Below are 23,697 nucleotides of genomic sequence, written 5' to 3'. Positions count from 1 at the left end.
CTTTCTCAGGTTGGTGATGTCTCTGTCTGAGGCCTCAGCTGGTTGGGGCAAGGATAAAGAGGACTGAAAGAAAGAGGACTAGTGTATCTCAGTGGTATCTTCTAGCTCTAAAATTATGACTCTACCGGAAAAAAAGAATTGATTTGGGGCCTACTCAAATCCCACCTATTCGATCTTCACCTTCTACGATGAAAGGAACCTCACTCCTTAGATGTTTCTGCCTTGTGTCTCTGGTCTTCTCCGCTCATGCAGGTTTCATTGAGTCATCTACGTCTTCAAAATCATCTTTAGTTATTTATTTATTTTTGCCACCACCTCCTCTCTGTCTTCGGCTCTTTCAGTAAAGCATACTCATGAGATTGGATGGGGTTTAACAATCCTGAACAGCATGTGCTTTTCCTTCTGCTTCTTTTTCTCCCCATCATAAGCTCAGAGTTAAATGAAGTCTTAAGTGGTAGTTGAACAATACACGTCTTTGTGACATACTAAATAACAGGAGATGAAAGCCAGTTATTAGCTTAAAGAGAAATATGGCATACCCTACACAGAAAAGATATGGAAAGAAAAATGGGGATTTGTAGGGGGCTGGAAGGCCCAGATCCACTGAATTATTCTCTTAATTAAGGAGAGGCAGTACAGCTGTGTTTCTCAACCTTGGTTGAACACTCAAATCATCTGGGGAGCTTTAAACATTACTTATGCCTTGGTCCCATCCTCCAGATATTCTCACTTAATTGATCTAGAGTGTGGCTTGGGTATTGGAGTTTTTAAAAAATCTCCATGTGTGATTCTAACATAGAACTAGGGCTGAGAACCACTGCAAGAGAAGTTAAAAATAATGGAAAAAATAATTGAATCCCAAGGTTCATCTTATAAAAGTGTGGCCCTAGAACTTGACATTTGAAACAATCACCATGGAGATGTGCCTCAAAGAATTTTGGAAAGAAGCTCCATTCCATAACTTTCTTTTTCTACTTCTCCCATGTACATAGCAGTGATATCTTAACTTGAGGTCAGTGAACCTCATGCTTTTGCATGCAAAATAGTCTATGCATATGTGAATATGCACTGTTCTGAGCAGAGGGTACATAGTTCATAGTTTTCATCAACTTTTTTTTTTTGTTTTTTTTGTGATGGATGAGAGTTGCACTTCTCACTGTGTTGCCCAGGCTGGTCTTGAACTCCTGGGCACAAGCAATCCTCCCACCTCAGCCTTCCAAGTAGCTAGGACTAGAGGTACAAGCCACCATGCCTGGCTTCATCAGATTTTTTTAAAGGAGTCCATGACCTAAAATATTAGGAACCACTGATTTACTGGAACGAGAAAAACCATATAAGATAATGTATTTGGGATGGCAAATACCCTTGTACTGGTAGAATACTGGCCCTTTAAGGTTAGTCCCTGTGAATCAGTCCTCCTGGTTAAAAGTTCACTTGCAATAAAATGTTGCATTTTTCTTAGACTTTGTTCCCTAATTAAATAGGATTAATATGTCCATCCTGTCCCACAGGTGGGCTATGTAAAGCATCAGCATGGCCAGTTTTTTCTTGTCTTTTATTTTCTTTTGAGACAGAGTCTTGCTCGGTTGTTCAGGCTGGGGGGCAGTGGTGCAGTCTCGGCTCACTGCAAACTCTGCCTCCCAGGTTCAAGTGATTTTTCTTCCTCAGCCTCCCAAGTGGCTGGGATTACAGACATGCACCATCACGCCTGGCTAATTTTTGTATTTTTAGTAGAGACGGCGATTCACCATGTTGGCCAGGCTGGTCTCGAACTCCTGGCCTCAAGGGACCCACCCGCCTCGGCCTCCCAAAGTGTTGGGATTACAGGTGTGAGCCACCGTGCCTGGCCCGGCATGGCCAGTTTTTGCTCCTGGTGCTCACTAGGTGAATTGGGAATCACAACAGCAACACAAGCAGCAAAAACCTCCCTTGCATTTTCTAACAGTGCCAGCACATCTTTTCACCCTTTGCACACATTCTCACTTGTGCCTCAAAACAGCCCTATGAGGTAGGTACTATTACCCTCATTTTCCTGGAAGAAAATGAAAGCAGCACAGAGAGTTTAAATAACTCTACAAGGTCCCTCAGCTAATAGACATCAAATACAAACCCAGATACAGCAGATACAAACCCAGATAGTCTGACTCCAGGGTCCATCCTTAACTAAACACCTCAAAAACGAGATGGCAGACTGGCCAAAGGGTAATGAAGGTTTTGAAAAAATGTCACTGCTGCAGAGGAACTGCCGCCTTTCATCCTCCTTACCGTTATTACTGGGCTAGAAATTTAGGATGACAATACAATCGGATAAATTAAGGTGACAACACTCCAGCTGAGGGAACTGGAATAAGATGCAATGAAATGTGTTCTATTTATTTACAAAGGGCTTCTTTCCCCTCACTTAAAAGTTACTGCCAGGCCAGACATGTTGGCCCATGCCTGTCATCCCAGCACTTTGGGAGGCTGAGGTGGGAGAAATTGCTGAGTCCAGGAGTTTAAGACCAGCCTCAGCAACATAGCAAGACCTCATTACTATAAAAAAAAATTCAAAAATTAGCTTGGCATGATGGGGTGCACCTGTAGTCCTAGCTGCTTGGGCGGCTGGGGCAGGAGGCTCATTTATGCCCAGGAGTTCGAGGCTGCAGTGAGCCATGATCACACCACTGCAAAGTTGCTTCTGAGAACATGAACAATTTCCTAAGTGGCCAAGGGTGACATGATTTTGAAGAAAAGTGATACTGTGACTCCAAACCTTTGTTGATGAAAAGAGTCAAACTGTAAAATATTTGAAGAGATTTATTCTGAGCCAAATATGAGTGACCATGGCCTGCGACACAGCCCCAGGAGATCCGGAGAACGTGCTCAAGGTGGTCAGGCTACAGCTTTTGGTTTTATACATTTTGGGGAGACATAAGTTATCAACCAATACATGTAAGATACACATTGGTTCGCGGTTCAGTCCAGAGAGGTGGGACAACTTGAAGTAGGAAGAAGAGGTGGCAGGAGGAAGGGGGCTTCCGGATCATAGGTGGATTCAAAGATTTTCTGATTGACAGTTAGTTGAAAGGGTTAAGTTATTATCTAAAGACCTTGGAATCAATAGAAGGGAGTGCCTGGGTTAAGATAAGGGGTTGTAAGCCTGGGCACGGTGGCTCTCAGCTCTTTGGGAGGCCGAGGTGGGCAGATCAACTGAGGTCAGGAGTTCGAGACCTGCCTGACCAACGTGGAGAAACCCCATCTCTACTAAAAATATAAAATTAGCCAAGCATGGTGGTGCAGGCCTGTAATCCCGGTTACTTGGGAGGCTGAGGCAGAAGAATCGCTTGAACCTGGGAGCAGGAGGTTGCAGTGAGCCGAGATTGTGCCATTGCCCTCCATTCTGGGCAACAAGAGTGAAACACCGTCTCAAAAAAAAGATAAGCGGTTGTAGAGACCAAGGTTCTTATTATGCAGATGAAGCCTCCAGGTAGCAGGCTTCGGAGGGATAGTAAATGTCTCTAATTGGACTTTAAAAGGTGCCAGACTCAGTTAATTTTCTCATGGACCAGGAAAAAGACCCAGAAAGGGAAAGGAATTCTCCATAGAATGCAGCTTTTCCCTATAAGACAGCTTGGCAGGGCCATTTCTAAATATATTAAATAAATATATTTTGAGGTAAAATGTTTCGATTTACTTCACGGCCTGCTCTCTTTCATGTTGGTATCTTAATGCTATAAAGAGTGTATTTCGTCGGTCTTAAGGTCTCTGTGTTAATGTTAATGCTGGTCAGCTGTGCCTGAATTCTGAAAGGAAACAGGGTATGAGGCAAGTTCGACACCCCAGCCTATCCCATTATGGCCTGAAGCAGTGTTTCAGGTTAACTTTCGAATGCCGTTGGCAGAGAGGAGTCTGTTCAGTTAGTTGAGGGGCTTAGAATTTTATTTTTGGTTTACACATTGATGATGACTTTGCAATCATCTTTGGTTTTACCTGGAAGGTTAACTCACCCCTAGTCTTCTTTTTTTTTTTTTGAGACAGAGTCTCATTCTGTCACCCAGGCTGGAGTGCGGTGGTGCGATCTTGGCTCACTGCAGCCTCCACCTGCTCGGTTCAAGAGATTCTCCTGTCTCAGCCTCCTGAGAAACTGGGACTACAGGTGCACAACACCACACCCAGCTAATTTTTGTATTTTTAGTAGAGATGGTGTTTCATCATGTCGGCCAGGCTGGTCTTGAACTCTTGACCTCAAGTGATCCACCTGCCTTGGCCTCCTAAAGTGCTGGGAATACAGATGTGAGCCACCATGCCTGGCCTCAACCCCGATCTTCTTGTGATTGGACTGAATCCCTCTGAAGAAAGTCTGCAAGTACCATCATGAAATCTGTGCCCTTTTATACCATCCCCATCCGCGGGCCCTGCAGAAATGGTTCCATCTAAATTCAAGTCCTCCTTGTTACAGAAGGAGCCATCTCCTCTAGGCCACGTGTGGAAATGTGCTTTGCAGCTTTGGATCTCAAAGTGGAAGGCGCTTGGATGTCCTTCAGGGCAAACTTCTGGCCCTTCCAGAGAAATAAACTCTGTGGCCACTTTCAAAATGTCTGTGATCTCCATCCTATCACTTCAGCCTTTAAAAAGGGACGGAAAGCATGGTATCTGTGCATGTCTCATTCTTTCACTCAGCCAAAGCTTTGTAACTTAGTGCACTGTTAAATCCTGAGCCTTCTCCTGCAACTCGATGGTAGGCAATTGCTCTGCCAGTGACTTGCTAGGAAGGGGCTCTTGGGAAGCCCTGTGGGCAGCAGTATTGAAGTCCATGCCCTCCACTGCCATCAAAGAGACCATCCTTGGGGATCTTGCAGCCATGTAACTGATCTTATCTTGCCGTGTTGGCACCAGAAGCCACACAGTGACATTCACAAAGCATGGGGACACAGAAAGGCAGACACACAACACCCTGCTGCCCCACAAGACCGAAACATGTTTCTGTAAGTGTCAGAAACACCCTAGAATGGTCACAAGTTTACTAAATCTCCTGTGTGTTGTAAAATGTCACAAGTTTGTTATTGTTCAGTGACAAGGTAAAAAACTGCAACATTTTTCGTCAAAATAGAAAAGAAAAACAAAGAATAGCTATGAACACGCTGGGATAATTCAACCGATGAGCACAACGCCTCCTTTGTCCCATTCCAACTTGGCCGGTGTTGTGCCTGGCTGTCATCCACGTCTTTGGCGGTGTGTCTGCCTGCAGGCTTTGTGGTCCTTTGTGCACATATTTTGGACGCTCCCTTGGCCGCCCCCAGCTAAGAGAAGCCGACTCTCTAGAGCTTCTCCATCGGGCTCCTCCCTCAGTCACTTGGGAGGGAATTTGATGCAGTTCAAAGTAGACCCACTTCCCTCCTCCATCCCTGACCTCTTCTTCCCCAGCCTGCACAGTTGTGTCTAAAACACTGACCTGGGAGAGTGAGAAAATATATTTATGAGGGTGCAGAGGTGACCTTTTGTTATCTAGTTAGCACTTGAGGTGCAAAGAGGCAGACCAGTGGCCACCTGGGATATCAGTCTAAAAGGTGTGTTAAACCATTGCTGGGGCTGAGTGCGGTGGCTCACACCTGTAATCCCAGCACTGGGAGGTTGAGGCAGGTGGATCGCTCGAGCCCAGGAGTTTCAGACCAGCCTGGCCAACATAGTGAAACCCTACAAAAAATATAAAAGTTAGCTGGGTGTGGTGGAGCATGTCTGTAGTCCCAGCTACTCAGGAGGCTGAGGTGGGAGACTTTATTGAGCCTAGGAGGTCGAGGTTGTAGTGAGCTGTGATCGCGCCACTGCACTCCAGCCTGGGTGACAGAGTGAGAGCCTGTCTTCAAACAAACAAAACCATCACTGGAATAAAGTCAAGCAACCCCAGCGAGTTAATTCAGGTTTGTTACCTAATTTGTGAATCTAAATTGGTCTTGTTATCACCAAAGTAGAGATTACCCTTGAATAAAAACAAAACCCTGCGTCCTATCCTCCCCGCTCGCCCCCCCCCCACCCCCCACCCTTTAGCATTTTGTGACACATGCATGTAGGATCCAGGTGCAGCTTCATTCAGGTCCTGCCTTGAAGGCAGCTAGCTGACAGTTACCTGAATAATGGATGACACCGTGTTCTTTATTTGGAACAATTTACTTTCATTTAAATTTGAAATTACAAAGGAGTCTCTCTAAACCAATTCTCGTTTGGGAGGCTGCCCAATTACAAAAATTTTTTTAAAAATTATGTTGTCTTCTAAGAAGTCTGGTTCAGCAATTCAGAAAAAAAATATATGTAATAAATTTCTTATTTTGGGCCAGGTGTGGTGGCTTATGCCTGTAATCCCAGCACTTTGGGAGGCCAAGGCAGGTGGATCACTCAAGGTCAAGAGTTTGAGACTAGACTGGCCAACATGGTTGAAACCCTCTCTCTACTTAAAAATACAAAAATTAGGCCGGGCGCAGTGGCTCACGCCTGTAATCCCAGCACTTTGGGAGGCCGAGGCGGGTGGATCACGAGGTCAGAAGATCAAGACCATCCTGGCTAACACGGTGAAACCCCGTCTCTACTAAAAATACAAAAAATTAGCCAGGCGTAGTGGCGGGCGCCTGTAGTCCCAGCTACTCAGGAGGCTGAGGCAGGAGAATGGCGTGAACCCGGGAGGCGGAGCTTGCAGTGAGCCAAGATTGCGCCACTGCACTCCAGCCTGGGCGACAGAGCCAGACTCCGTCTCAAAAAAAAAAATTAGCTGGGAATGGAGGCAGGTGCCTGTAATCCCAGCTACTCGGGAAGCTGAGGCAGGAGAATTGCTTGAATCTGGGAGGCAGAGTTTGCAGTGAGCTGAGGTGGCACCACTGCACTCCAGCCTGGGCAACAGAGTGAGACTCTGTCTCAAAAAAATAAAATGTAAATAAAAAATACATTCCTTATTTTGAACATAAAGAGGTATATAATATGTATTAATATTTATTTCTTTAAAAAATCAGTTCTTGGGCTGGGAGCGGTGGCTCACCCGTGTATAATTCCAGCACTTTGGGAGGTAGAGGTGGGCAGATCCCTTGAGCTCAGGAGTTTGAGACCAGCCTGGGCAATGTGGAGAAACCCCGTCTCTACAAAAAATGCAAAAATTAGCCATGCATGGTGGTACACGCCTGTAATTCCAGCTACTCAGGAGGCTGAAACGGGAGGATTGCTTGAGCCTGGGAAGTAGAGGTTGCAGTGAGCCAAGATAGTGCCATTGCATTCCAACCTGGGCGGTACAGCGAGACTCTGTCTCAAAAAAATAAATAAATAAAAATTAAAAAAATCAGTTCTCCTGAACTTCTCTGATTAAAAAAAAATCAATTTTTCTGTAACCCTGCTAAATACAGGATTTAAAAAGTTCATCGGTTTAAAGGGTGCGTGATCACTAATCCTCCCGAGGCACCATTTGTTTAAATTAAGCTCTATATACTCACATATCAGCCTAGAAAAACACTCTTGATGGCCTGGAGTCTTTTGAAATCAGTCAAAATGACATATATAATCATACTACTTGCAAAATTATTGGAAACATCTCGTACAGTGAGGTCTAAGTTTCGTCCTGTTCCAGAATCATCTTTAAAGCTTTTCTTTTTTCCTTTCTTTTTTTTTTTTTTTTTGCTTAAGTACAAACATCTAGGCCCTACCCCAGACCTATTGAATTATTCAGGAATGGAGTCCAGGAATCTATCTTTTCTTTTCTTTCTTTTTTTTTTTTTTGAGACAGAGTTTCGCTTTTGTTGCCCAGGTTGGAGTGCAACGGCATGATCTCGACTCACTGCAACCTCCGCCTCCTGGGTTCAAGCGATTCTCCTGCCTCAGCCTCCTGAGTAGCTGGGATTACAGGCGCGTGCCACCACGCCCGGCTAATTTTTTGTATTCTTAGTAGAGACAGGGTTACACCATGCTGGCCAGGCTGATCTCAAACTCCTCACCTCAGGTGATCTACCCACTGCGTGAGCCACCACACGCAACCTGGAATCTATCTTTTCAAATCTGCCCAATTCTGCCGTGACCCACTGGAGAACTAGGATTAGAGCACTCAGTCCACTGACCCCAGTGAAACACTCTGACACGGATGAGGAGCTTGAGGCCCCGAAATCCCACAGTGCTGTTGCAGCACAAGTAACAGCACCATGCGACATGCATGGACTACACCAGTGAACAGAAGAGGCCAACGTTGACCTACCCCCTAGGTATTTTGTTAGGCTAAATTCTGGAGATACAAAGATAAAGGAGGCATGTCCCTGCCTTCTAGAAGCATTCTGCTGCAGTTCTGGAGGCCGGAAGTCTGAAATCAAGGTGTTAGCAGGGCCATGCTCCCTCAAAAGCGGGTAGGGAAAGTCCTAGAGGTGGAGGTGGGGTGGGGGAATGATATTTTAACATTCTAAGAGAAAATGAAGAAAGTATACATTTTCGAACTATGAAATAAACCAAGTTTTGGACAGGATAGACTCTAGTCTTGTAAGAGACAGTATGGAAACAGATCATTCCAGCCCAATAAGATAAATTTTATGTAGTAGAGATACTAGGCAGGGCAAAAACAGCAGTGAACTGGGTGCTGTGGCATGCACCTGTAGTCCCAGCTATTTGGGAGGCTGAGACAGGAGGATTGTTTGAGACCAGGAGTTAGAGGCTAGCCTGGGCAACATAAGAGACCTTGTCTCAAAAAAGCCAAGCAAAACAGTTGGGTACTGGAGAGGACTAGAGGCTCCTGTTGCCCATGATGTTTTTAACTTCAGTCTTCATTTTTAGGTAGTTTTGTTATTCTGTTAGTATCTCTTTAGTTGTTCATTTTGGGAGCTACCAATAAGGTGTTAGACTGGAATGCTGATTTACGTTTTTGGTGCCACTAAGAGAACTACAATACAGTGGCATAAAATTAAGTGCGAAGGTCCTGATAAAAACTGCCATAAAGGGCTGGGCGTGGTGGTTCACACCTGTAATTCCAGTACTTTGGGAGGCCTGGCAGGCAGATCACTTGAGGCCAGGAGTTCGAGACCCGCCTGGACAATGTGACAGAACTCCATCTCTACAAAAAACACAAAAATTAGCTGGGTGTGGTGGCATGCAGTTGTGGTCCCAGCTACTCCGGAGACTGAGATGGGAGGATTGATCGAGCCTGGGAGTTTGAGGCTGCAGTGAACCATGATTGTGCCATTGTACTCCAGCCTGGGTGACAGAGCAAAACTTCTCCACTACTTCCAATGCTTCAGGCACATCTTATCCACGCTTTTATTAAATCCTCCTTAGAACCTGCAAAGCAGTTGTTATTATCAATCTCTCCTTTCAGATGAAACTACAGAGGTTCAGAGAGGCTGGGTAACTTGCCCAAGGTCACATAGCTAGGAAGTGAGAGATCTGGCATGGAAATTCAGGCATCGAGGATTGCCAACTTGGGGATTCTCCTACTTTACCTTCCAAGAATCCAGCACATGCCGAGGGGCAGGGGCAGGGCTCTGAGTGGTTCGTTGGTCTAACAAAGCTCTAATCATTGATGTTTGACCGGAAGTTGCATGTGAGAGGGACTGGAGCCCTGTATGGATGTCCCAAACCTCTAGCACGGAGCCTCCTTAGGCGTTCTAGTCATCAGTGGGGTTCAGCCAGAGGGAAGCATTGTACGAGGAACCAGGCGGCTGCGATGGCCAGGGTGAGATAAAACTGCTGAAAGGCCGAGAGACGCTGCTTCAGGGGCCTGCTCCATTCAGGCAGGAAAATGTGTCACTTCCTCCCTGGCTCCTATATAATTTCTCGTGGGGGAAGTGGAGGGGGATCGGAGCCTTGAAAGAGTTTAGAGTGGGTCCGGGTGGGGTGAGGGGAAGGCCAGCTGAATGTAAAAAGCCAGGCAGAGTGGAAGAGTAGGATGGAACCAGCTCTGGCTACACCCTATTTAAAAGCCCTAGCATATTTTTACCTCTTGCCTCATTCTCAGCCTACTCTTCTAACTGCATTCTTATCCTTTTTTGAATTCAGAGCTGGAATATCAGCTCATGCACTCCTCCCCCACCTCCTTCTCCTGCGCAAAAATCTGAATCCTCTCTCTTGGCTGCATGCAATTTTCTGCAAAGCTGAAACATTTAGAGCTGACTGAATGCTTCCCCCTCTACACTGCAGAAACCGCTTCCTTGCCCCACCTAATGGAAACGTGTACACACACACACACACACACACACACACACACACACACTTGCAATGCCTGATTCCCACAGACTAGTTATTTTAAAGAGTCTGGCTTGATCTAACAGCCAGCCTCAGCTATTTCTCCCTCATCATCTCATTGGCAAAGTCATGGAAGAAAAGGAAAAAGTGGGGTCATGGTAAACTGATTTGAGTTTGCAATGCAGCTACAGGATTCAGAAGTGGAAGAGCTCATCGTGTTTAATGCCTTCTTTTTGCAGATGAGGAAATGAGGGTCTACGGAAATTAAATGACTTATCCCAAGTTTCAGCTCCTTAGGAATAACACCAGACTAGAGCTTGGATCTCTTCAGGGGACTGCAGGGTTGTTAGAGATTGGGCCAGAAGTGGTAGACATTGTGTAGACATTTCCAACCCCTAGAGCTCCCTTCCTTCTGCAATTCACTGCGTGTGCATACTTGTATTACCAGGGCTTTTGTGGCATTTAAGGACCTTCCTTGAAACCCACCTTAAGCTTCATCTTTCATCAAACATCCGCCAAAGCTGGGCTTGCCGCTCAAGTGCATCTTGAGTTTCATGGGCAGTAACTCCTCCAACCTCTTGCATTCTGAAGCCACCTAGACGTTGGCAACAACCAGTTTCCTTATTTGCCCTGTTCCTTATTTGGAAGCAGCTCAGCTTTCCCCAAAACATGTTGGGACACTTCTAATTGACAAGGTGTGTGTCAACAGTTCTGAACTCACCGGCCAACTCGCATTGTTCACCTTTCAGAGTGGTTCCAGGAGAGGAGCCGGCTCCCTTCCCAGCCCTCGCTCGATACCACACACACCCAACCCACGGATCAGAAGGGCTTGTGCAAGGAGAATTTCCTGTTCTGCTGACTCATCTCCTGCCATGAGATGGAAGACAAGTTTATATTTTGTTTTCCAGCTTGTAAAGGGAAATGAGAGTTTTATAAGTTCGGATCTCTCTGAGATGAGATCAAGTCTAGGCAACTCCCTGGCACATATTGGGACTAAGTAAATGAGAGTTGGATATATTAATGATGGCCCAATCAGCCGACTCAAGAGTAGTGAGCATTCAGGTGGGGGCTGCCAGGTTGTCTGGGGAGTGGGACATGGCTAAGGGATTCTGAGCTTCCCTTTTGGAAGGAGGCTCTTGACTGTGGCCCAGGGAGATGGTTTGAAGGAGGCATACCTGGATGTCACTGTGAGTGCATAACAGTGCAGCAGCCAGACTTGACATCCCATATGCTTTCTGACTGAGAACAAAAGCATTCATCCTCTCCCAGCTAAACCTCAAGCAGGGGAAGGATGATTCAACTCAGGGTAGCAAACAGCAGGAAATCCGGCAATAGCATTTACACTTGGGAGGCAATAGAGCCAGATTTTTGCTAAACAAGATGGGAATGTTTTTAAAAAAGGATCCTGATAAGATTTGTGCATGTTATTGTATATAACTTTTTTTAATAGAGATGGGGTCTTGGCATGTTGCCTAGGCTGGCCTTGAACTCCTGGGCTCAAGCAGTCTGCCCACCTCAGCCTCCCAAAGTGTTGGGATTACAGGCGTGAGCCACTAAATCAGGCTAACGTATATAAATTTTTACCTTGAAAAATATATATGTAAAATAATCAAGTGAGGTATGGGGAGTGACAGGTAGGTACATAAGTCTCCATTATAATATTGTATTTACTTTATAAATATTTAGAATTTGTCATAATAAAAATTTTTAAAACTTGGATCCTGGCCAGGTTTGGTGGCTCACACCTGTAATCCCAACACTTTGGGAGGTGGAGGCAGGTGGATCGCTTGAGGTCAGAAGTTCTAGACAAGCCTGGTCAACATGGTGAAACTCCGTCTCTACTAAAAATACAAAAATTAGCTGGACATCGTGGTGCACACTTGTAATCCCAGCTACTCGGGAAGCTGAGACAGGAGAATCGTTTGAACGCTGGAGGTGAAGTTTTCAGCAAACCGAGATTGTGCCATTGCACTCCAGCCTGGGCGACACAGCGAGACTCTGTCTCCAAAAAAACAAAACAAAACAAAAACAACAACAACAAACTTGGATCCTATTTTTGGCTCTAATTTCTTTTCTCTCCCTCCCTGCCTTCTTTCCTTCTTCTTTCCTTTCTTTCTTTCTTCTTCTTCTTCTTTTTGAGACACAGTCTTGTCTGTCACCCAGGCTGGAGTGCGGTGGGGTGATCACAGCTCACTGTAGCCTTAACCTCCCAGGCTCAAGAGATCCTCCTACCTCAGCCTCCCCAGTAGGGACTACAGGCATGCACCACCACATCCAGCTAGGTTGTTTTAAATATTTTATTTTGTAGAGACAGGGTCTCCTATGTTGCCCAGGCTTCTAATTTTCAATGTTTCTTTATGGTCTTTATTTCTGTGCTTAACATCTTTATCTGTAATATGGGATATCTGAACGTATCACTTTTTGCTCAAGGATGTTTAGGCCAGGCACAGTGGTTCATGCCTGTAATCCCAGCACTTTGGGAGGTCAAGGTGGGCAGATCACCTGAAGTCAGGAGCTCAAGAGCAGCCTGGCCAATGTGATGAAATCCTATCTCTACTAAAAATAAAAAAAAATTAGCTGGCTGTGGTGGTGCACGCCTGTAGTTCCAGCTACTAGGGAGGCTGAGGCATAAGGATTGCTTGAATCTAGGAGGCAGAGGTTGCAGTGAGCCAAGATTGCACCATTGCAGTCCAGCCTGGGTGAAAGAGTAAGACTCTGTCTCAACAAAAAAGGATGTTTAGAATATGTGTGAAACCATGTCTATCAAAGGGCTTTGTAAATTATAACATCCTCTTGAAGTGTGGTAGTTAGAAAAGGCTCATGATTACTTTGCCATGGTAAAGATTAATATGGGCACACACACACATATAATCAAGCAGTATGGAAGGTATAACGTGTTAAAAAATAAAATTGCAACAAATTTAGTTTCAATATATAATTGGTTTTTATTAACTATTCATGAATTGGAAAGTATCCCATCCAAAGATTTAGAAAGGATCTCCTGTAAGCTGAGTGGAGGAGGTTGGCTTTATAGGCACAAAAGGGCTGAAAAAAACAAAAGCAGGGAACTAAAAGCAGATTGGTTGTTTCAAAGTTATTTTCCTCCCTGGATTCAGACAGAGGGGGCTTCCTTATTATGCCAGCATGGGGAAACTGGGCCCCTTTTAGTTGGTTGCTGTGATTGGTTCCTGTGTTTTGGAATATCAGCCTGTTTGAGAGTTCAGTTTGATTGTATGGCCCCTGGCATGAGCGACTCCATTCTGGTTTTGTCTGGTCTGTTGGGCCTAGTGCAGGCAAGAGCTTAGTCCAAGCCAATGACAGTCCCATAAATTTCACTTAACACATGAAAATTTCCCTCCTCCAGTACTCTCCTCTAGACACAATCATTGTTATCATAGAAATTCTATGGATATGAAATATCATATATATATATATTTTTTTTTTTTTTTTTTCACCTATTGAATTAGAAAAGCCATGAACTGGCCCGGTGCAGTGGCTCACTCCTGTAATCCCAGCACTTTGAGAGGCTGAGGTGGGTGGATCGCTTGAGCTCAGGAGGTCAAGACCAGCCTGGGCAATATGGCAAAAACCCTTCTCTACCAAAAAATACAAAAATTAGCTGGGCGTGGTGGCACACGCCTGTAGTCCCAGCTACTTGGGAAGCTGAAGCACAACAATGGCTTGAACCCAGGAGGTAGAGGTTTCAGTGAGCCAAGACTGAGCTACTGAGCTCCAGCCTGGGCGACAGAGTGAGACTCCATCTCAAAAAAAAAAAAAAAAAAAAAAAAGAGGAAAGCCATGAAATATCATATTTTCATATGAAATGTTTAAAGTAACTTAAAACTTTTAGGTCCAAGGGTCTCAAACTGTAGGGAAGATTCACTGAGGTGGGACTTAGAAGCGCACATTCCTAACCAGGCCTCCAGAGGCAGAGGAGCCTCCTAGGGATCCCGCTGAGATGCGAATTCTGACTCAGCAGATGTGGGGCGTGGCCTGAGAGTCTGCATTTGTAACCAGCTCCCACATGATGTGGATGATCCTGATCCAGAACCACACTGTGAGGATTTTTAACTGCCCCAAAAACTCCTTATAAAAACGAGGCTGACCAGGCGACGTGGCTCACACCTGTAATCCTAGCACTTTGGGAGGCTGAGGCAGGAGGATTGCTTGATCCCAGGGCTTTGAGACTAGCCCTGTCAACATAGGAAGACCTCGTCTCTACCAAAAATTTGAAAATTTGCCAGACATGGTGGCACACGTCTGTAGTCCCAGCTACTCAAGAGGTTGAAGTGGGAGGACTGCTTGAGCCCAGGAGGTTAAGGCTGCAGTGAATTGTGATCACACCACTGCACTCCGGGCTGGGTGACAGAGTGAAAGAAAATAAATAAATAAATAAATAAATAAATAAAATTAAAATAAGGTTAAGCGGGGCCAGCTACTTGAGAAGCTGAGATGGGAGAATCCTTCAAGCCCAGGAGTTTGAGGCTGCAGTGAGCTATGATTGCACCGCTGCACTCCAGCCTGGGCAACAGAGCAAGATCCACCTGTAAAAAAATAAAAATAAAACAGACAAATCCCCTGCCCGCAAAAACAAAAAATGAGCCTTATTCCAAATACTTTTAGTAAGATAGCAAAGCACATAGAATTCTAAGAAAACAATATTTTTACATGCTTTTAAGTAGACAGACAACCTCCCTGAAAGCAATTCAGGCCTGCATCCCTCTGGCGCTGAGAACCTATGAGCATCCCCTCCAGGGAGAATATGTCTTTGTCATTTTATTTATTCTGGGCTCTAGAATCCAGAGCCAAAATAAAATCCTCTGTGCCACCCAGCTGGTACCTCTCAGATGTAAAAATCACATTTTCATACCAACATACAGCCCCCAAGTTTTTCATTTTATTGCTGTTTTCCTATAACAATTGATCTCAAAAGCTCTTTGGAGCTTTTAGCTTCAGTCTTTTGTGGGCCAACAGTGAACTCACAGGCCGGGTTCTCACAAATTTATATTTCTATATATAATTTTGGGGCTCCTTTTAGGGAAGGGAGAGGCTCATTTGGCATACATATTAATTAAAGTTTTGGGAAATAGAAAAAGCACCTTTGTCAATATTTGGAAGAGTGCCTATTACAATAGCTCACATTTAATAGAAAAAAGCTCTTGATGGAGAACACTCATTAGTTCTTTTCTGTCTGATTTCTTTTTTTGAGATAGTCTCGCTGTGTCGCCCAGGCTGGAGTCCAGTGGTGCAATCTTGGCTCTCTGCAACTTCTGCCTCCTGGGTTCCACCGATTCTCCTGCCTCAGCCTCCTGAGTAGCGGGGATTACAGACACCCACCCCACCTGGCTAATTTTTGTATTTTTAGTGGAGACAGGGTTTCATCATGTTGACCAGGCCGGTCACGAACTCCTGATCTCAAGTGATCCGCCCATGTTTGCTTCCGAAAGTGCTGGGATTACAGGAACGAGCCACCACGCCTGGCCAGTCTGAATTTTTTAACAAAATGAATACTCATTCATTGAAATATTCTGAGTCAGTGTTCCATGGAGGTTCTTATTGTCAGATTTTATTTTAGTTCAGAAGATTTTAATAGGAATAATTTTTATTGTGTGTGTGTGTGTGTGTGTGTGTGTGCGTGTATTGTGCCTGTTTGTATGTTTGTTTGTTTGTTTGTTTTTGAGACAGAGTCTCACTCTGTCACCCAGGTTGGAGTGCAGTGGCTTGATCTTGGCTCACTGCAACTTCCACCTCCTGGGTTCAAGCGATTCTGCTGCCTCAGCCTCCTGAGTAGCTGGGATTACAGGTGCCCGCCACCATGCCCAGCTAATTTTTTGTATTTTTAGTATAGACAGGGTTTCATCATGTTGGCCAGACTGGTTTCGAACTCCTGACCTTGTGATTCGCCCATCTCGGCCTCCCAAAGTGCTAGGATTACACGTGTGAGCCACCATGACCAATTTTTTCCCCACATCAAGGCTGGTACTTCTCCTTCTGAAAGGCTTTAAGTGACTCATGTCATTTTACCTCACACTATTCCTGTTAAATCATGAAGCTAAAATAAATACAGATATTTCAGAAACAAGTGAGTTACTGGTTGCATGTCACATTCCAGGACTGTTCTGTTTGCTGCTCTATTGGCTTCAGCACAGTTCTAGGGGTAGGTAAAGTCTTGGTTATAATCCCTGAGTGTAATCCCCCCCAAAACTAGGGACTGTATGTTGGTACGAAAATGTGATTTTACACCTGGGAGGCACCAGCTCAGTGGCACTGAGGATTTTATTTTGGCTCTGGATTCTAGAGCCCAGAAGAAATGAAATGACAAGGACATGCTCTCCCTGGAGGGAATGCTTATGGTTTCTCAGGACCAGAGGGATGCAGGCCTGAATTGCTTGAAGGAGAGATGTCTATCTTTTTTTTTTTTTTTTGAGATGGAGTCTCTCTCTGTTGCCCATGCTGGAGTGCAGTCTTGTGATCTTGGCTCACTGCAGCCTCTGCCTCCCAGATTCAAGTGCTTCTCCTGCCTCAGCCTCCCGAGTAGCTGGGATTATGGGCCCGCCACCAAGCCCAGCTAATTTTTTTTGTATTTTTAGTAGAGACAGGGGTTTCACCATGTTGGCCAGGCTGGTCTTGAACTTCTGAACTCAAGGGATCCACCTGCCTTGGCCTCCCAAAATGCTGGGAATACAGGCGTGAGCCACTGAGCCTAGCCATATATCTTTCTATTTAAGAGCACTTTTGAATGCTGCTTTGATTCTTAGAATTCTACGTGCTGAACTGGGCACGGTGGCTCACGCCTGTAATCCCAGCACTTTGGGAAGCTGAGGCGGGCAGATCACCTGAGGTGAGGAGTTTGAGACCAGCCTAACCAACATGGAGAAACCCTGTCTCTACTAAAAGTGCAAAATTATCGGGGTGTGGTGGCGCATACCTGTAATCCCAGCTACTCAAGAGGCTGAGGCAGGAGATTTGCTTCAACCCGGAGGTGGAGGTTGTGGTGAGCCGAGATTGTGCCATTGCACTTCAGCCTGGGCAACAAGAGTGAAACTCTGTCTCAAAAAAAAAAAAAAGAATTCTACATGCTTTACTACTTCGCTGCAAGTATGCAAGTATTTGGAACAAGGCTCATTTTTATTATATGAGGAATTTTCCAAGTAGATTTAGGAATCCTCAAAGTGTGGTCAGCTCTCTTGTGTGTATGACCTGTGGCACCTGTGTTTATATCTACCTCCACCACCCTGTTGATCATGGGAGAGGTCTCCAGAAAATTACTCAAGGCCCACATTCTGTGAGCTCTGAGACAGTGGCATCATATCTGTGAATAAGAACACATTCATGTCCCTGGCTCCCTCCCAAATGCCCCTCGATTCCTGCCAGAAGGAACTGGAAACAAATGAGGCTCCATCTTCCAGAAAATTGTCTTATTTTTATCACTCAGAATGCTAATCCTTTGAGGAGGCAAGGCCAGAGGTCCTGCAGTGGGAGAGGCCTGGGACAGGGACAGCAGGAGAGGGTGGAGCTTGATTTCTAGCCCTGGCTCTGCCACCCACATCCCTGCCAAGAACCCACTTGCTGCCGAACTCCAGTGCTGGACTCACGGAAGATGCTCAATAACTATTTGTTAAGAAAAACAAATGTATTTTCCATGTGACTTCGGCCAAACACTCGACCTCCCTAGACTTCTGTTTCCTTCTCTGCAAAATGAAGTCACAAGCTAGAATGAGCTTTGTTTTTCCTCTCTGCTTGAGTATTCTTTGATTTGAGAAAGAACTTTCTAAATTTAACTATTATCACTTCTATGTCAGCATGTTCTGGATAGGGATAAATTCCAAGGGAACAGTTTTAAAAATTTATCTTCCCAGAGAAATAAAATTTCGTTTTTCTTCTTAGGGTAACACTTAGGAGCTGGAGGTTGGGTAGGGAAGAGCAGCAGAATCTGAGAGATTAGTCATCGACCCAGAATTAGTGTCTATAGATGACTGCTTGTCACAGCCTCAGGTAACTTTTGTGACATCAGGAATATTTTGGTAAGGAGGACAGGAAAATGCTCTGTTAAAAAAAATGCCGGCCGGAGGGACAGTGGCTCACACCTGTAATCCCAGCATTTTGGGAGGCTGAGGCCAGTGGATCATCTGAGGTCAGGAGTTCGAGACCAGCCTGGTCAACATGGTGAAACCCCATCTCTACTAAAAATACAAAATTAGCCAGGCGTGGTGGCATGCGCCTGTAATCCCAGCTACTTGGGAGGCTAAGGCAGGAGAATCGCTTGAACCCAGGAGGCAGAGTTTGCAGTGAGCTGAGATTGTGCCACTGCACTCCAGCTTGGGCAACAGAGCGAGACTCTGTCTCAAAAAAAAAAATCTTTTTGCAAAAGAGAACAATCAATAATCAAACTTTTGCCTTTCCCAACAAGGATAATATACGCTTGTGTGCATTTCAAAGACCTCCATGGCTTTTACAGTATACTAAATATATCAGTGTTATACAAGGTTTTGACCAATCTGTGCTTAAAGAGCAAAGCAAAACAAAACAAAACAAGCAGCAAGAAAGGAAGTCTGGGATAGGCAAAGTTTTCCTTCTCTGATAAGCCGATTGTTCTGTGGAGTGTTGGGGTGGTGGGTAACTCACCAGGACAGCTGCCTTCTAACAGAACAATGAGACAGCCTGTTTTGGTCCTGTTTTACAGCTGGGCCATTTCCGGTATAGGCAGGTTCAGTATAAAATGAAAGTATAACTGTAGTGTTGTTTAAAATGATGTTATTTTCCCTCCTGGAGAAGGGTGTGTACTTCTTATTACCAAATCCTAAGAAAGACACAAAAAAGCTAGAAATATAGACACCTGAACACCCTGATTTCAGCATTATCCTTTTCTGCTTAATTATCAAGTGGCTTTGATATTGAAAAGCTTTAAATGAGACAGAATTTTGTTGGACAGACTCAAGGCACTTCGTACTGATCCCTCACAATAGCACTTGTTTGTCTTAACAATAGCAACAGTTCAGAAAGGCCTAAAAGTTTTAGATCTGCATATGTAAATACACAGAGTGTATCCACTTTAAAAATCGCATCTTATCTGAGATACTTCTGAGGCCATCATTGGTGGACACACATCCCATACACTGGTGCTTCCTTTTCCTTCCAGCTAAGCAGTAGCTCCATGTTCATGACTTTATTTTCATCTGAATGCACAGGATAACACTTTTTTGGGCTGGGCATGGTGGCTTATGCCTGTAGTCCCAGTACTTTGGGAGGCTGAGGCAGGTGGATCACCTGAGGTCAAGAGTTCGAGACCAGTCTGGCCAACAGGATGAAACCCCGTCTCTACTAAAAATACAAAAAAAAAAAAAAAGAGAGAGAGAGAAAATTAGCCGGGTGTGGTGGCAGACACCTGTAATCCCAGCTACCTGGGAGGCTGAGGCAGGAGAATCGCTTGAACCTGGGAGGCAGAGGTTGCACTGAGCCGAGATTGTGCCATTGTGCTCGAGTCTGGGCAACAAGAGTGAAACTCCATCTCAAAAATAAATAAATAAATAAAGCAAGGTTTTTTTGGGTTTAAAGTTGATGTTTCAGGGCAAAAGAGAGTGGGAGGTAGAAGGGAGATGTCAGTCTATGAAATTAAAAAGGTAACAAATCAACAACAACAATAATAAATCTGAAAACTCTGGTTGGCCTGTGTAGCCTCAAGAGTCTTACTTATAGCTGATAAATCCCACCATTTTATGAAAAGTTAAGTAATTATATAAGGTATCATTAAAATGGGAGGTACAAATAATAAAGAATTTAGAGGTAGGAGTGCATTCTGAGAGCTGTTGTCAGAGACATTCAGTTAGGCTGGGGGTGGGAGTACCTGCATATGTATAAGGCAGGAATAAAAGCCAGCTGGAGACTGCAAAGGAACAGAGCAAATTGGGTTAAACTATTCAAGAGAATTTGAAGATGAAGTTTCTTCTATTTTTTTTTTTTTTTCTGAGACGGAGTCTCGCTCTGTCACCCAGGCTGGAGTGCAGTGCTGCGATCTTGGCTCACTGCAACCTCTGACTCCCGGGTTCACATCATTCTCCTGCCTCAGCCTCCTGAGTAGCTGGGACTACAGGTGCCCACCACCATGCCCAGCTAATTTTTTTTTTGTATTTTTAGTAGAGATGGGGTTTCACTGTGTTAGCCAGGATGGTCTTAATCTCCTGACCTCATGATCCGCCCGCCTCAGCCTCCCAAAGTGCTGGGATTACAGGCGTGAGCCACCGCGCCCGGCTGAAGTTTCTTCTATTAATTCTGGTCCTTCAAGCCACTGCCTTCGGAGCTATTCCTGTGGCTAATAGTACAAGTCCAGAACAAAATGATGTGTTTGCACAAAGGTACATGGGCATCTTTTATGGTCTCCTGAAGGAAAGAATTCCAATGATCACAAAGAGAGCCAACAGAGAATTCAAGGCACACAAAATCCAGGAAATATAGCAGTTTTTGGGGCCAAATGTGACCGGGCAATTGGATGCATCTACTCTGGCAATGATGCATGCACCTTGATGAGCAGTACCTAATGTTCATCAGGTTAACACAGTGATGGGGAAACCAGTATGGATGAAATGTCATATCACCTACACAATCAAGAATTATACTACTGGCATGGTGTAGAAAGATTTTGACTATGCCATCCAGAAGGCTTTCAAGTATGGAGTGATATGGTACCTGCCACCCCCGAAATTCAAACAGATTGACCCAGGTGAGGCTGACATTTTTATATATATGTATATTTTTTGTTTGTTTGTTTGTTTTGTTTTGTTTTGTTTTGGTGAGATGGAGTCTCACTCTGTCACCCGGGCTGGAGTGCAGTGGCGTGATCTCAGCTCACTGCAATCTCCACCTCCCGGGTTCAAGTGATTCTCCTGCCTCAGCCTCCTGAGTAGCTGGGATCACAGGCACCCACTACCACGCCTGGCTAATTTTTTGTATTTTTAGTAGACACAAGGTTTCACCATGTTGGCCAGCCTGGTCTCGAACTCCTGACCTCAGGCGATCTGCCTGCCTCGGCCTCCCAAAGTGCTGGGATTACAGGCGTGAGCCACTGCACCTCGCCACATTAAGATATATTTTGCATAAGGAGATCATGAAGACAGGAATCCTTTTGATGGCAGAGGTGGAACCTATTGCCTATGCTTATGGTCTGGGAGCTGGTGTTGATGGATACTTGCATTATGAGGAGGCTAAAATCTGAATTCAACACTCCAAAGGCATAAACTTGCTTCTTGATGCTGCTGATAGGGCCATTCCTTGGGTCTTAGCCACTCCAAAGATCCAAAAGCTATTTTTCTCTCTCTAGAGTTATGTTGATCCAACCAGATTTTGCCTCTCTACTGATGACATCTATGATATTCAGTTTCTCCGTGGAAGCCCATAAAAGCACCAACCCCTGTCACATCCTTATACTCTAAAACCTGCTACCTGTGACTCCAAGTTAAGCTTTGATGCTGTCACTATAATTGAAGGAAAAATCTTTTTCTTTAAAGACAGGTTCTTTTGGTGTAAGCTTCCTGAACTATCAAAGAGCAGTGTTAGTTTAATTTCTTCCTTATGGCTGATCTTGTCATCTGGCATTCAAGCTGCTTATAAAATTGGATCCAGGAGTCAAATTCTTCTTTTTAAAGATGAAAGTACTGGTTAATCAGTTGTTTAAAACCAGACTATCACAAGAGGATACATTCTCCGAGCTTCCTTGTCTCTGTGAAAAGATTTGATGGTGCCGTTTTTAATTCACTTAACTACAAGACCTACTTCTTTGTGGATAAAGAGTATTGGAGGTGAGATGAGAAAAGGCAGTTCATGAACCCTGATTATCCTGTACTATTTACCAAGAAATTTTCAGGAATTAGACCCCAAATTGATGTAGTCTTCTACTCCAAAGAATATTACCGTGTCTTCTAAGATTGTAATCAAGTTAAATATGACATACTAACCAATTGTGTCACCAAAAGGCTGCAAAGAGTTAACAAGTTCCGTTGGTGTACATGGATTCACTTCAGTTTATCAAGTATTTATGGCATATATTCTTTGCACCCAACAGCCATTGTATAGTAATAAGTGTCTTTAAATAAAGAAGTAAAATTTATATGGAGACAATAGATTAGTGATTTAGAAAGATGTAAACTAATGTTTTCATAAACCTTTTCAATTTTGAAAACCCCCAGGGTAGAGTCTCTTCATTTTCAACTTTTACTTGGCTCTCCTGTTAAGTTTAAAACTAGAAACTCTCAAAGACCAAGAGAATCCCTTCTGAAGAATGCTTAATAAATTGATTTCTAAAATCCTTGGGCTGAGAAATTATAATTACCTTCTCTGGGCCTGCCTAACACTAAGAAACAAATAGTTTTGATGACTGTTACATTTTTCAGCAAAATGTACTGTAATTTTACTCTTTTTTTTTTTTTTGAGATGGAGTTTTGCTCTTGTTGCCCAGGCTAAAGTGCAATGACGCAATCTCCGCTCACTGCAACCTCCGCCTCCTGGGTTCAAGTGATTCTCCTGCCTCAGCCTCCCAAGTCGCTGAGATTACAGGCATGCACCACCACTCCTGGCTAATTTTTGTATTTTTAGTGGAGACAAGTTTTCACCATGTTGGCCAGGCTGCTCTCAAACTCCTGACCTCAGGTGATCCACCTGCCTTGGCCTCCCAAAGTGCTGGGATTACAGGCATGAGCCACCAAGCCCAGCCTAATTTTACTCTTAATTAAAGTAGAATATACTCTAGAACTTAAAGAAAAATGATGATTATGTAAGTAAACTATTAAATAGTGATAGTATCATTTAATTGTTTCAGGGTTAACTTTCTTAATATTACATATATATGTAACATTTATATGTACATATATATTAAAACTTCGAAAGAAAAAAGACCAACTTGAGCAGTTGTCTGTTGTCTCCCCTAATCACATACGAAGGGCAAACATCCCCTGCTTGACTTTGACCTATTTTATTTATTTATTTATTTATTTATTTATTTATTTATTTATTTTTTGAGACTTAGTTTCGCTCTTGTTGCCCAGGCTGGAGTGCAATGGTGTGATCTCGGCTCACCACAAACTCCACACCCCTCCCATGGGTTCAAGCGATTCTCCTGCCTTAGTCTCCCGAGTAGCTGGGACTACAGGCATGCGCCACCATGCCCGGCTAATTTTGTATTTTTAGTAGAGTTGGGGTTTCTCCATGTTGGTCAGGCTGGTCTTGAACTTCTGACCTCAGGTGATCCACCTGCCTGGGCCTCCCAAAGTGCTGGGATTACAGGCATGAGCCACCATGCCTAGCCCAACTTTGACCTATTTTGAATTCCTGGTCTTTGTTTCTTTTTTTTTTTTTTTGAGACAGAGTCTCACTTTGTCACCTAATTGGACGCAGTGGTGGAATTATAGCTCACTATAGCCTCAAACCCCTGGGCTCGAGCAATCCTTTTACCTCAGCTTCCTGAGTACCTGATAGTACAGGCATAAGCCACCAAGCACGGCTAATTTTTAAATTTTTTGTGGAGACAGGGTCTTGCTC

The 23,697-nt window shown here is 44.3% G+C and overlaps 1 pseudogene, besides 3 other annotated features; it reads left to right on the top strand.

Annotated features, from left to right (window-relative positions):
• Window positions 10,554–11,053: an enhancer, noted in NCBI's record as "H3K4me1 hESC enhancer chr8:26123513-26124012 (GRCh37/hg19 assembly coordinates)". NCBI's record gives its function as "activates a minimal SCP1, AML or CMV promoter by ChIP-STARR-seq in naive and primed H9 embryonic stem cells {active_cell/tissue: H9 hESC(naive and primed)}" and the evidence as "EXISTENCE:reporter gene assay evidence [ECO:0000049][PMID:30033119]".
• Window positions 10,554–11,117: a biological region, named in NCBI's record as "Sharpr-MPRA regulatory region 858".
• Window positions 10,823–11,117: an enhancer, noted in NCBI's record as "tiled region #858; HepG2 Activating non-DNase unmatched - State 20:ReprD". NCBI's record gives its function as "activates a minimal TATA promoter and a strong SV40 promoter by Sharpr-MPRA in HepG2 cells {active_cell/tissue: HepG2}" and the evidence as "EXISTENCE:reporter gene assay evidence [ECO:0000049][PMID:27701403]".
• Window positions 20,419–22,134, top strand: LOC100129404 (matrix metallopeptidase 12 (macrophage elastase) pseudogene; annotated as a pseudogene).

This window comes from Homo sapiens, chromosome 8, assembly GCF_000001405.40.
Source record: "Homo sapiens chromosome 8, GRCh38.p14 Primary Assembly".
NCBI classification, from domain to species: Eukaryota; Metazoa; Chordata; class Mammalia; order Primates; family Hominidae; genus Homo; species Homo sapiens.
Note: the sequence above shows the minus strand (reverse complement) of the source record. Positions and strands in the feature narration are given on the sequence as shown.